Here is a 15,044-nt window from a genome sequence, read left to right on the forward strand (position 1 = left end):
TAAGTTAAAAAAGAATTTCATTGGCAAAGTGATTAGCTGCAGGGGGCAAAAATCATTCCAGTGAATACTGTTTTTCCCTTTGATACATCTCCAAATTGATGTTTCCATCTCATTGTTTTTGTATTTGTTTTTTAACTTTATCTAAAGATTTTTTTAAAATGAGAATTATTTAACAAAAGGCAAACTCTCACCACTTTCTTATGTAAAGCTGATGTGACAATGCAAGTGTCAACAAGAGGGCAAGATCCGTCTCAGGGAAATCTTGAAACCTCTAAGTGGAATTTGCATAAAATAGTTCTGGTATTATTATTCACTATTCTTTCCCTGACAGATATGTCAAGGCCTTGAAACCTAAAAGAACAATTATGCTATTGTATCTCTCAGAGGATTCAAGGGGTGTGTCTTTGGTGGAAAAAGTGCTATTAGAGCTTTGAAAGCCGTTAAAAGGCAACCCAAGGGACTCTTTAGCTAGTCATTTTATAAAGAATGCCTCTGCTTTAAGTGTCTTAAAGTACGTTTATTCAACTCTTACTTTCGGCTTAAAAAAACCCTGCTAATAATTAATGTCTGTACATTTTTTAAACGTTTGCATTAGCTATAAATAAAAACTTTAGATGGAGTCATCATTAAGTTTAACTATGATTCTTGTGTGATGGGACCTGTACCTTTGTCAAATGCCTTGCAACAAATTACCTGTAAGCTTTTTTTAAAAATTATTTTTTATTTAGCTAGCATAGTGGAAGCCATTGCCATAACCAATTATGGAGCAAATCAGGAACTAATCAGTAAATTCTTTCCCTGCATAAGCTGGCTTAACGTAACATGTCTGAACATTAAAAAAGAAACATTGATAAGGCATGTCTCGTTGCAGCTGGATGGGGTGCGGTAGGCAGTGATCCGACTTTAATTTCCTCTGAAACCTGCTGATTAGGTTATTCTCTGGTTCGGCTGGGTTTCCCTGGAAAAAGGCAATGCCAACTTTTGATGAGAACAGTTTTGAAATTCAAGAAAGACACAGAAAGGCACAAAATGCTTCTGTCACTTAAGGTGATAAAGCCAGTACCGAAAATGAATGAACCAGGGAAAACTTCAGTCAAAATGCTGCAAAGACGGTGCGGTCAGGGAAATTTTGATTCCAATGACCAAGAACTAATAATATTCACTGGCATGGATGAGTGCTCTGTGTTTTTAACAAGCGGTAAAGTGGTGTTCATTTTGTATACTTTAAACAATCCCAAGATGTTATTCATTTATTTTCATGGGTGTGTTCTTTCACTTCATAGTTTTTGGGAGTGAGAGGTGCCCTTGAATCCATCTACTTGGACCTACTGTTTTATGGATAAGAAAAGGAAGATTCAAGATGGGTAAACTGAGTCCAGTTATCCAGTGATGAAGGACGGAAGAGACCTGTGTAGGCTGTGAATACCCCCAATATCCATGCCTCCTCTTCCATAGTTACAGAATTCTGGCTGACGCAAGGGTAACCTTAATACTGTGCATTTTCCCACAGTCCTGTGTAGCTATGCAAAGCCATGTGCTATGGGTCCAGCCTGATAAAAGTGAAAGTGGCCTGTAAAATTCCTGGAAAACACTCCGATTTTCTCTTCCACTAGCACAGGACCAGCCACCTTGGAAATGGAGGCATATACAGAGTATAGCAACATAGAAGGAGACTGACTCCATAGGGCACCATCCCAATCCTGGCCTGCCTGCCTCCACGTAGGTGAGAGAAAAAAAGCTCTGATTGCTTAGGTCACTGTAATTTTGGGTCTAGTTCCTCGCATCCATACTTTACCTTAAACAAATGTAGTAACTACTGAAAGTGCTCCAGGCCGGGTGCAGTGGCTCATGTCTGTAATCCCAGCACTTTGGGAGGCTAAGGCGGGCAGATTACTTGAGGTCAGGAGTTTGAGGTCAGCCTGGCCAGCATGGTGAAACCCCATCTGTACTAAAAATACAAAAAAAAAAAAAAAAAATTAGCCGGGCATAGTGGCGCATGCCTGTAGTCCTAGCTACCTGGGAGGCTGAGGTAGAAGAATAGCTTGAACTTGGGAGGCGGAAGTTGCAGTGAGCAGAGATTGTGCCACTGCGCTCCAGCCTGGGCGACAGAGCAAGACTCCACCTCAAAAAAAAAAAAAAAAAAAAAAGTGCTCCTTTGGCTCCAAGAAGTGTGTTGAATGGGTTACTTCTGTCAACCTTTTCCAAGCATGGTGGCAACACAGCTAGAATCTAGTGGTCTTAAGCACCCTACTGGATGCTGTTCCCCCAATGGACAATGGTGTCATTTACTTAGGAATCTCAAGCACCCAGCAGAATCTGATACTCAGAAAGTGCTCAATCAAATTTTATAAGAGTTCAATGAATGAATAACACTATATGTAAGGATTCTAGATTGTCTCTCTGCTATACCACATGGTACCCTGGTTGTACTCGGTGGAGAAGTACAAGTTTAAGCTCGAAATTTTGTCCTGATCCCTGTCTCAATGTATTGTTTGATGACAAAATGATTCACTAAAGCCTTGTGGATTTGTCTCTTGCTTGTTCTTTTTTCTTTTTCCTTTCTGGTATTGTTGCATTTCAATATGATATAAACAGAGCATAAATCTTGGCTCTTGCCAACTGCTGTTTGGTTGGAATTGCCTGTATTGTCTTGACATTTGTTGAAGTCTTTAAATTAACAGAGGAAAGAATTGATTTTAAAAATGGCATTTGCATTAAGAGTTATAAATGGGCAATTTGGGAAGCATGAAGACAGATATGGAAAGTTATGCACAAATACTACAATTAGCATAGCAGTGGGGTCTTGACTCCATGAAATATACAGTCTTGTACATTCCTCGGGGACATATGTTATGTAGAGTATATGTGTGGCATCATTTGTATATCCAAGACTCATAGGTGAGCCAGAGGGTCACTTCCAACCTGGACAAGCTACAAAATCTCAGATTATTGGTGGATTTCAGGCCTGTTTTCCCCCCTGATGTCTTGAGTTTTCAAATACCTTTGTAATGGTTTTGGACAGACCTTATTTTTATATGGGATTAATGGCTGGCTCTTTTCAGGATCCCAGCTCAAGAAAATCTCACCGTACCCACAGGGTGAAAAGCACTGCCAGGATCCCAGAATCATTAGATCTAGAACCTGGACTATCTATCTTCAATTGCTTGGCACCTCCATTTTCTCAACTCCCTTAGCTGTTGACCTCTGTTTGTCTCTTAAAGTCACCGATGGCTTGATTCATCTCCTGGCTCAAGAGTTTCCTTGATCCTGACAACTCATGTCTTCGCTCAATTATTCATTTAACTATTGTCTACCCTCTACTCACAGGTATGGTGCAGAGTGGGAGAGAGGGAGATGAATAAGACCTAATCCCTTCCCTTAGGAGAGCTCATAGACTAGTAAGGATGCAGACAAAGAAAGAGGTGATTCCAATAAGATGGAGTGAGGCTGGCCAAGGGGAGCAAAGGAAGGCTTGGAGACCTCGTAGGAGTTAACCAGGGAAAGAGGAGATGGCCAGGGTGAAGGAAAGAGAAAGGCAAGAGATTCTGAGTAGGGCACTTTAGAAAAAGTTTTAAGACGGCATCAGAACATGCTGCAAAGTCAGAAAGGAAACTTTAGAAGGACTACAAATATGTAGTCCTTGGGTTGTATAGACTTGGGTTTCCAAATATTTAGAAAGCTGTGTCTGTTTTTAATTATTATTATTATTAGTAGTAGTGTTAGCAGTAGTAATAGTAGCATATATCCAGTATAAGAAACTCATAAGGCCTGCCGCGGTGGCTCACGTCTGTAATCCCAGCACTTTGGGAGGCTGAGGCAGGCAGATCACCTGAGGTTGGGAGTTCGAGACCAGCCTGACCAATGTGGAGAAACCCAGTCTCTACTAAAAATACAAAATTAGCCAGGCATGGTGAAGCATGCCTGTAATCCAAGCTACTTGGGAGGCTGAGGCAGGAGAATTGCTTGAACCTGGGAGGCAGAGGTTTCAGTGAGCTGAGATCGCGGCATTGCACTCCAGCCTGGGCAACAAAAGCGAAACTCTGTTTCAAAGAAAAGAAAAAAAAAAAGAAACTCATATTTTCAGAGCAGAGTCCTGATGGCTGTTCTAAGCAGACACAATATTGATCTCTGGCTATAGGTTTAACATCTGTAGGTGGATGAAGGGTGGCAAGTTCAATGATATACCCACAGGTAAACTAGTTTGTTGCTTCCTTTTTCGATCATACAATTCTAGAAACATATTCCTATTTCAAAGACATCAACAAGTTAGGATACAAATCACATGGCAATGCAAGGGCTTACTTTTCTTGATTCTTGCTACCCACAAATACTACAATATGAGAAATTCCAGTACATCTTTACCATCACGAGCATTAAAAATAATAACAATAAACACAATGAACACTTCTGTAGCTTTCCCCGCTTGCCAAGCACCATTTCAGGGATTTTATTACTCACTTAGCTTCTCTACAGCTCTGTAAGATTTAAAGCATTGTTATCCCCATTTTTCAAGGTGAGGAAACTAAGGTGGAGGCATTAAGGTCTCTTCACTGAGTTCACTCAGTAAGTGAGGGAACCAGGATTTGAACTCAGGGCTCCTGAGTCCAGAGCAAAAGCTACAATTCCCTCAGTGCTGCTGCAGAAAGATGCTCTAATCTTTTGCCTTATCCCCATTTTACAGGCTAGGACACTAAGCCCAGCAATAGTAGATAATAATCAACCTCTGGTCATGCATTTGGCAGTGCTGTAGCTAGAATGGTCCTTTTGTTCTCTCCAAAATCTAGGCTTTTTGAAATGCAAAATTCTGCATTAATATTGCAAATTACCTGGGCAGCTTTTATTTTGGGGAATGGGAGTATGTCAACAGGTGGTTGACATTTTTCACCTGAAAAATCTGGGGATTTGTCATTGTGTGGGTGTCGTCCGCCCTCTGCCATCCCTTTTCACTCTCTGACTCATCTCCAAGTCTCTCTTTCTATTCCTAGCCTCTTTCTTCTCCCCAGTTCCCCTTCACCACACGACTGTGAAGATGTCAGCCATCAGATTTGCTTCCCTTCCTGTTTTCCAATGTCTCCTTGACCCCGGAAAGCTCCCCGAAGCTCAGCCTCAGCTCACCTTCTCCTGTGACTGTCCCGCCCACTCCTGTGCCAGCAGGAGCCTGCAGAGCCCCACTCAAGCTGTCCAAGTTAAACTTTAAGCAGCACCAGTCAGACGATGAATCGTGGCATGATGGGAAACTTAAGTTATCAAAAGAACTTTTAAGTAGTCTGCAGTGCAAGCTGAAGTTGAACTTGTTGGGTGAATAAAAAGTAGCAAGGTAGACAGTACATGGGCAATGTATTGAGTCAAAGCGTTCAAAAGATAGGAGAAACCTTTAAAAAAGATTTTAGGAGTAAGATTTAGCAACCTGGGGATATGGGATAAAAAAGCAACTGCACAATTGTTGGGTAGAGATAACCCTCACTGAGTCCAGACACCTTGCTTCTAGGATAATTTCTCCTCCTACCTAATTAGGTAACCTTTGCTGATATTTCTAAATTGTATTATTTTCAGTTTCACTGACCTTAAGAAAACCCTCCTTATAAGAATATTTTAATGCACATTTTGCAGTTTTTCTTCTACTCTAAAATCTATAGATACTCAAAGTTGAAAATTTAAAATCAATTGAAAAGTAGAAAGAAGAAAGAGACCCCTCTGTAAAGACTCACCACGCATTTAATATTTTAGGCCCACCATGCATGTTGTATTTTCGTCTAATCTTCTACATGGAGTAATCTGTTGTTTGAGCTGCTTAATGCACATGAAGACATGCAATATATATAACATGCATTTGGTCCAAGGTATTGCAAACTCTTCCTACATGCAGTTTTAAGACCTCAAAGCGGTTTACCTGCAAGCTGTGACTTTTATGCTATTTCTTTTCTGTCCACTTATTCCAATAGAACTGCTTCTGCACAGCTTTCCAATTCAGGAGGAAACAGTAGCACGTCCAGAAGGTAGTTGGGGGAGCCAGTGAAGGGACAGTTCGCCATGTAAGAGATGGCAACACAGCCAGCGACTAGCAACTGTGGCGCTGCTACACCACTGGGCCCGAAGGGGTGGCAGAGCAGGCAGTAGCCAGAGTTCAAAGAAAGCTAAAACCACAGGAGGGGAGAGGGCAGTCCTGCAGGAGGAAGCCCAACGCTGCAGTCTGCGCCCGTGGAGTCCTCATGAGGACAATTTTGACTGCCTTTGTCCTGATCCCTCTCTCCACTGTGGCTCAAAACCAGCTCAAGGATTCATTAGCTATTTGGAAAGTTTATCGAAACAAAATCAAACAAAAATCAGGTTCAAAAGTGAGTACAGAGAACAGCCGTAATTCTATCTCTCCAGAGTTCTTGTCTTCCCTCCTGTTTCCTTCAAACAAGCCACTGCATTGCTCTCCCATTTTCCTTTGTAAAAATGGTATGTGGAAGAGGGTTATTGCAGCAGCGTTTAAATATGAAAACAGTTGCTGCAGACAAGGCCCTCCAGATATGCAACCTGGCGTTTCTTCAAGAGCAGATTCTACATGGAGAGGTGCAGCAGAAGCAATGATGCTCAGGACATGGCACTGGACCACTTGCCCCACGTCTGTGGGATCCTGAGTAGGAACCAGCATTTTAACAAGTTCTTCCATCTCTGAAGCTTCTCCAGCACAGCTAATCTGAAAGCCACTGAGCCAGAGGTCAAGAGAGGAGAGATCCTCTGAGACATACAAGGCAACCTCACTTGACCCCAGCAGGGTGACCAGGCATCCTGGTTCACCTAGAAAGGAGTTCCGAGATGTGGGACTTTCAGTGTTAAAACCAGGAAGGTTCCAGGCAAACCAGGAAGTAAGTGTTGGTCACCCTAACTCCAAGTTTGCTAAGTAACAAATCCACAATGTCATGTCAAGCTGTTCTGTCTTTACCGCATCTTTAGGGAACCTATGGTTAGCCTGGGTCTTGTGACCGTCACAAGAGTTAGGTGAGATGAGGTGTGAATCTCTGCATTCCAGTAGAGGAAACTGACACCTAAGGAGATTTAGGAAGTCACCTGAGGTAGGATCAACTAGGCCTAGTTTTCACCTGGGTCTGGATCTAGTCACTCAGGTGGGCTCAAACTTAACTCCAACACCACCAGCCAGTTCCCACAAGATGGTACTCTAGTGAACAAGTCTGTCTACACTGGAACAGGATTTTCTTGTGGTTTCTTTTCAACACCAGAATTTCCAAGTTCTCTGAATATGGGAGGTACTCTATAAATATTTGTTGGCTCAACAAATAGAGGAAAAACTCAATGAAGTCTCTTTCAAAATACACATAGGTGGTTATTTTTCCATATCGCTTCTCGGCTCTGCTCTAAACTCCTTGAATGTGGGATTGTGCCTGTCTATCTGCCACGGTACCTATACCTACAAGAACATCAGAGACAGCATGGTTACACAATACAGGCTTGCTGGATTTGTTGACTTGAAGGCAAAGTGCAGACTTTAGGCCAAAGGAGTTGATTTTGGCCACCTGGAACACACAACAGAAAGTGCTCTTGAGGCAATAGTCCGTGGCACTATAATAGTTTACCCTGATGGGAACTGCTTGGAGCTTAGGACAATAAAACCCTATTCTGAGGCTGGTTTTTCATGTGCAATACTGAGATGTTCTGAAGGAGGCCAGGCAGAGATTCTCACAAGGAAAAACAGTGTCCAGCTTCTTTAACTTACAATTCTTGGCCCATCTCCTGGGTGCAGCTGAGCCATTGACTCTTGGCTGCTCATGGCGGTTGGAATTCCTTGAGAACAAATCTGATTTCAGAGGAGAGAGCATTTCACAACTGATGTCCAAACATTTTCCAAACAAATTTGATCTTGTTCATTTTCCAGGAGAGGTGCTGGGGCTTCCATCACCTCTCTCCCTTTGGTCTCCATCTCTGGGGCAGAGGCCAAGCTCTCAACATCTTAGCAGAGTCGGAAACTTGAATTAATGCTATTTCTGGCTGAAAAATGATTTGGTGGCATCAAGCCCAGTTATGATGTTGAAATACAGAAGTGGATGAATACAAAACATGATGCGTAGACTTTAGAGGAGAGAGGCTGGAGTAAGGCAAGGAGACATCCCCAGCTAAACACCATGGTCTCTGTGGACAAAGCACCACCCGGCATGTTCAGAGTTGGAGAATTACTACAAATGGGACCCTCCCCAGTGTGAATGGTTCTTACCACTCTCAAAGTCAGACTACAAACAAAGCTAAAATAATGCAGAATGTTTTTTTCTGCCAGGACTGGAAAACTTGTTTTTTGCCACTAAACCAAGGGGAGTTCTGATTACATCTAGTGATAAAAAATAAAATTATATGGGTCCGGTGGCTCACACCTGTAATCTTAGCACTTTGGGAGGCTGAGGCAGGAGGATTGCTTGAGACCAGGAGTTAGAGACCAGCCTGGATAACACAGAATGATCTTGTCCTGCCAAAAATACAAAATTATACAAAAAATGTAAAAATTAACTAAGCATGATGGCTCATACCTGTAGTCCTAGCTACTCAGGAGGCTGAGGCAGGAGGATTGCTTGAGCTCAGAGTTCAAGGCTGCAGCGAGCCATGACTGCACCACTGGATACTAGCCTGGGTGACAGAAGAGACCTGACTTGGGTTTGGCTGCTGCCTGTGTCTGAATTTTTTGGGGTGAGGGAAAGCTTCCTATGGAGGTGAGCTTGCTACTAATAAGTTGGAGCTGTCTTCAGGTCCCTAGATATGGTATTGTTAAATCACATAACTACTTTTTTTTAACCTTTGCTGGGTCAAGAGCCCTTTTGAAATATAAACACAAAATTTTATCTAAAGATCTGAATTTCTGTTCCCCACATGCAGGTCTCTGAGCCTCTAGACAGAGACCTTGCTCATCTTTGAGCATCATTCACGTGGTATCAGTTTACTTCCCCATCTGTTCTTGGACCTCAGTTTCCCCACCTGTGAAATGAAGGTGTTGGACCCAATGATCTAATGTCCCACCAGCAGTGAGTAGATTCTGTGGCGGGAGGTCCATAGGTCTGTGTGTTGGAAAGGCTGAGAGTGGCTTAGGGGAATAGGACCAGACTGAGCTGGAGGGATTTTCGTCCAGAGATGCCACCTGAAGAATTTCCCCCGAAGGCTGCAGCACCAAAAATAACTTGCCTTTCTGTTCTTGTCACATGACTGAGTGAAGACTCTGGAATCACAGAAAGAAACAAAAACAAAAACAACAACAAAAAACAAAACAGTTGTAGAGCCACAGCTTGATAGCTTGATAAACGCAGGATACTCCATCTCTTGCCAACTCCGTCAGCGCTTCCTCACTGTTTGCCTCCCAGCAACACTCAAGGGCAATCATTCTCCTCTATGAAGCCGGCCGGGATCTGAGTTCTCTATGATTAAGGCATGGGCTCTCTGGGCTGCCTCCATCTGAGCAGTGGCCACCCCCAGGCTGGGCCTTGAAGCTGCCCCCATGGACACGCTCTGGCTTTGGACTTGCTCAAGTCTGGAGTCAGTTTACTCCGGGTCAAGGCTCCTTTTAGATCTGCTGCATTCAGAACAAAATGGGTCATTCCACCTTTTTTCTTGGTTTTTCCCTAGGGATGAGAGTCGTTTTACACTGGTATTTGCTTGCTTGAGAAGCATTTCATTAAAAAACAAATAAGTTGGCTGCACACATGTATACACAAATGAGTAAAACGGAGGAAATCTGAATATGGTCAGCAGGTTGTATGAACGTCTATTTCCTGGATGTGTTACGATGTTAGAGTTACGCAGGACACTGCACTGGGAAGGGCATGCTGGATCTCTTTGTATTACTGCTTACAACTGCATCCTAATCTCCAGTGATCTCCAAAGAAAAAGTTTAATTAAAAAAATAGGTGGTACTGACTATATGGTCCCAAGAACCATATTGTGTTTTTTATTAAGGTCAGGATATAAATGAATTAAATACATTTGACAAACAAGTGGAACTTGTTTGCAGGCAACTTCCACGGCAAGGTTGACTTATATAATGTATGTACTGATGTACTGGAGTTTTTTTTTTTTTTTTCGATCTGGGGGAGAATTATAACCTCTTCGATTAAATCTTATGGGCCCTTTCCCCTCACAGGTATGTGTGTGCATATGTGTGTGAGCCCATGCATGTGTGCACACACACTCACACATGCTCATACTTTCAGAGGTGGGTCATCAGTAGAGTCCACTCAAGCACCCCCATAGAAGAGAGAAGAACAGTGCAGGGGAGACCTTGGCACTCCCAATAATCTTAGTGCCCTGTCTCCAAGTGGAATAACTTGGCTTTTATTAGTTTCATATTTCAGATATTTGTTTAAGGTTTCATTTGGAAAAGGGGTTTCTCTGCTTTAAAAGCAATTTAAAATCCACTGATGCATTAGAAATAAAAGAGCAGGGGATGAGATCTGGGGGACAGGACCTGCCTTTAAGACCCCGGTTTGAGATTTACTAGCTACGTAATTTTCCTCATTAAGCGTCAGTTTCCTCCTCTCCAAATCAGTTTTGGGAGGTGAGTGGGAAGGAACTCTGCTTCACAGGTGTGCTGTGTGGATTTAGTGCCTGTTCTGCCTCCAACACAAAGTCTAGTCTGTTGTTTCATTGGCACTGGACAAAGCTTTGCTGTCAGCCAGAGGAGGTCTAGGAGGTCGGTCAACGGGCTCCACCTTTGCTTTTGTGAAATTGGCCCAACAGTTCCTGTCCTTCTTCACCAGAGGGGGAAGGAATCCATGACCGAGCCCAGACCCTCCATTCTTTCTTTCTGCTGCCAAGAAAAAAAAAAAAATGCTGACAAGCAGGGGGAAAAAATAACACTTGCAAAACTTTCCCTACTCTTGGGGAATTTACTTTGAAATTTGTGCCGGATAGAGTAATTAGTAAACTTGCTCTTAATAGTGTTGCGAAGATGTAATTTTTTCACACCTTCCCTGACTTTGACACTGCGGCTTTTGAAACTTCATTTTGCACTGTGCCTCATTGTTCTTTAATCTGCTGCACTCTGCATTGAGTATCACGGAAATTTCGCACTTACCATGTCAATAACATCTGGCAAAATTGCCACCTATTAAGAGTAAGTGTTCTTTTTTCTCCGGTGAGAAATGTGATGGTGTATTATATTGGTTTCCCTTGAGAGGCTAAGGAGACAATTTTAAAGCAGACAAATGCATTAAAGAAATAACCTGAACTCTAAGAAAAGGTTATGGAAAGTCAGAAACTTTTCCCCCCTTGTTCTTGGTTTATTTATTTATTTATTTATTTATGGGGAGGAGGGAGTACAAGCAGCTGCCTCACGAAGTGAAGGTGCTTTTTGCCTGCAACGATGCACCCCTCTGTGTCGGAATGGGTTGCGTCTGCTGTCTCCTCTGGAGCTGTATTTCCCCATCCAGCTCTAAACTAAATCGGAGCATTTCCTCACCTAAGCCCTTTGTAGGGCAGACCTGTTGGGGATGGCACCAGGTCCCTGCTCCTCTCAGCCATAGTGAGAAAGGCAATGAGAAGTGCCTTTGAGTCAGGCTCAACCACCTATTTGCAGGGTAGCATCAGGCATGTCATTGAACTTTCTTTTTTTTTTTTCTTTTATTATTATACTTTAAGTTTTAGGGTACATGTGCACATTGTGCAGGTTAGTTACATATGTATACATGTGCCATGCTGGTGTGCTGCACCCACTAACTCGTCATCTAGCATTAGGTATATCTCCCAATGTTATCCCTCCCCCCTCCTCCCACCCCACCACAGTCCCCAGAGTGTGATGTTCCCCTTCCTGTGTCCATGTGATCTCATTGTTCAATTCCCACCTATGAGTGAGAATATGCGGTGTTTGGTTTTTTGTTCTTGCAATAGTTTACTGAGAATGATGATTTCCAATTTCATCCATGTCCCTACAAAGGACATGAACTCATCATTTTTTATGGCTGCATAGTATTCCATGGTGTATATGTGCCACATTTTCTTAATCCAGTCTATCATTGTTGGACATTTGGGTTGGTTCCAAGTCTTTGCTACTGTGAATAGTGCCGCAGTAAACATACGTGTGCATGTGTCTTTATAGCTGCATGATTTATAGTCCTTTGGGTATATACCCAGTAATGGGATGGCTGGGTCAAATGGTATTTCTAGTTCTAGATCGCTGAGGATTTGCCACACTGACTTCCACAATGGTTGAACTAGTTTACAGTCCCACCAACAGTTCAGAACCTCTGTCTCCTCCTCTGGACAATGAGATCATCACAGCTGCCCTTTAGCACTGGCTTGAGGATGGGGTGTGTTTACCGGGGCCCGCAGGTGAGCAGAGCCTGGAACTGTTAGGACGCTATAGCATCGTTAACTCCCCAGTGCTTCTCTGTAGGTGTTTACCGAGAAGGCCACGTTTCCTCTCTCCATGGCTCAGCACTTGGGATTCGCAGACACCTGTGATCCATGAATTCAAATCCCCAAATTACACATCAAAACGTCCCAGTGTGACTCCAGAAGGAAGAGGATCATCCTACCTCCTCTCTCCCTAGGCCTCCGGCTCATGGCCCCATCAAGAGAGCCACCAAGCAGAACAGCCTCATGTTCTATCAGCTGCTCACTAATCACACAGAGGGAAGAAGGAGACCTTCACAAATAATGCTGCATCTCCCACTAGGAGACATTCTCTGCCACTGGCATGTTGTCACCTGCCTGGCTACTTTCTGATTCTGAGGATGGGCTGGTGTGGCATGGGCTCTGCTCCCAGCATGCTTTGAGACAGAGGCAGGCAGGTGCACTGACGTCATCCCGAGGACAGGTGAGCAGTACTGAGCACCTGGTGTATGTCAGGTCCCATTCTCAGTGTATCCACTCATGGGAATTTCATAACCACCCTTAGGAGGTAGGAAGTCCTGTTGTCCCCATTCCACAGATGGGGAAATGGAGTCACAGAACCGTTGAGAGTTTCGCCTGAGTTCTCACTAAGCAATTGCAGAGTAAAGATCACAGGCCCTGGCCTGGCATTCGAGGCTCACAGCACGGTCCCTTTCCCCTTCTGACTTGCCACCCACACCTTTCCCACGTAGGACCTATAATCAGAACAGTTTCCTGAATATTCGTGTTTTGTCCCTTTGTGTAATTTTCACATATGTGATTTCCTCTGCCTAAAATCGCTTCCTTGGCTCTGCTATCTGTCTCATTCATTCATTCATCATTCATTCATCAATTTTTTTTTTTTTTTTTGAGACAGGGTCTCACTCTGTCACCCAGGCTGGACTGCAGTAGTGCCATCTCAGCTCACTGTAGCTTCAAGCTCTGGGGCTAAAGTGGTCCTCTCACCTCAGCCTCCTAAGTAGCTGGGACCACAGGCTCATACCACCATACTTGGTTAATTTTTATTTTATTTTTTGTAGAGATGAGGTCTTGCTATGTCACCCAGGCTGGTTTCAAACTCCTGGGTTCAAGCAATCCTCCTGCCTCAGTCTCCCAAAGATCCGGGATTACAGGTGTGAGCCACCGCATGTGGCCTCATTTATTTTTATTCAGCGAAGCTGTGTAGAAAGATGTGGACAAGCAGGGATGTGTTTATTAACCTCTGTGTGTCCATTGTCCCCAGTCTCTGCACTTAACTTTTATGGAATATCGAATTCAGTGACATAAACCAAACTTCTGTTAAGGTCCTAGGACTCAATAAATTCAGAAGTCACAATTTGGCAGCCCATGAGCCTCAAATGCACCACAGATATGTATTGGTGAGCCCTCATAGGATGTTTAAATATTTGAATAGGGTGCAGACATATACAGATTTGGAGATTTTATAAGACAAACCTAGAGTTTGAACTTCTACTGAATACATTGAGGGCTGTGGCAACCCAGAGCCTGCATTTGTACATGGAAACTCTTGGCCCTGTTATATACAGCAGGCAGTCTGCACACAGTCCCCAGCCCTCCCTGGTGTCTTGCACTTGTCTTTGTTTTTTTTTTTTTTTTTTTTTTTTTTTTTTACTTATCTAAGATAACAGTTTGGCCCTTGAAGGAGGTGTTTGAGTTTACAGCCATTGCAAAGAGTTACTTTAAATCCTCTAAGCAATCCTTTCCTTATACATGATAACATGTTGAACATACCTGCCTGGAGCCAGGTCTGTGCCAAATGCCAGGGATGCAGAAACAAATGAGCACAATGTTTGTCTTAGATGGCATCTCCTCCAGGCAGCCTTCCCTGATACACCTTACTAGATTGGCGGCCCAGGCCAGATCCTCCTCAGAACCCCAGCTTACCTACCCTAACAATGATCACTGTTAAAATTAAAATTAAAATTGCCAGTGTATGAGTCTGATCCACACGGTAGACTGCGCAGTCTTTAATCACGGCAGCTGTGTCTTATTTATCTTTGAATTTCCAGCCTCATACACAGGACCTGATAGAGAGGTGGTTTCTGGTCCTGTTTATCTCAGAAATGGATGCAGGAACGGATGAATAAAACTGAACCTACTGGACCCTCGACCATGCATCTCTGAACCAAAAGACTAATCGAGTAACGCTGTAAGTGGCTGCTCTAAAATTCCAGTTCCCACTTGAAAACCATCAATATTTAGATGACTGTATTTTCTTTCCAAATGCCCGCAATATTTTATGTCCTGATAATATTTACGGTTGTCCTCAGAGATAACTAATTGGATTTGCCATCCAGCCCACAGGGAAAACGTATGGGGAATTGTCCCTCATTACTCACCTCAGAAGGTGGTAGCTCACTCCCCAAACTTATATCACTGTGATTTGGGGAAGACTGAAATGGTGCGGGAAGGAATAATGTCCCTGCTGTCACCCTGGTCTTTCCTTTGCATTTACCACTTGGACAGAGCCATTTGCATCTGAATTGAACCTGCATTAAAATTTCAAGTTTATGTACTGCTGATGATAAACAAAGAGGTTCCAGAAACAGCCCTTAAGCTGTGGAAGCTCATCCCCCTTGTTTCCTGCGGGACACCCTCCTCAGTGACCCCAGCTCAGAGGTGACCCATCTCTTGTGCTCCCAAAGCCAACTGTACATTCTTCATGGCACCATTTC

At 43.3% G+C, this 15,044-nt stretch overlaps 1 annotated feature.

The window, feature by feature from the left end:
- Window positions 4,948–5,087: an enhancer, noted in NCBI's record as "active region_8999". NCBI's record gives its function as "activates an Ori minimal core promoter by ATAC-STARR-seq in GM12878 lymphoblastoid cells {active_cell/tissue: GM12878}" and the evidence as "EXISTENCE:reporter gene assay evidence [ECO:0000049][PMID:35858748]".

This window comes from Homo sapiens, chromosome 14, assembly GCF_000001405.40.
Source record: "Homo sapiens chromosome 14, GRCh38.p14 Primary Assembly".
Classification (NCBI taxonomy): domain Eukaryota; kingdom Metazoa; phylum Chordata; class Mammalia; order Primates; family Hominidae; genus Homo; species Homo sapiens.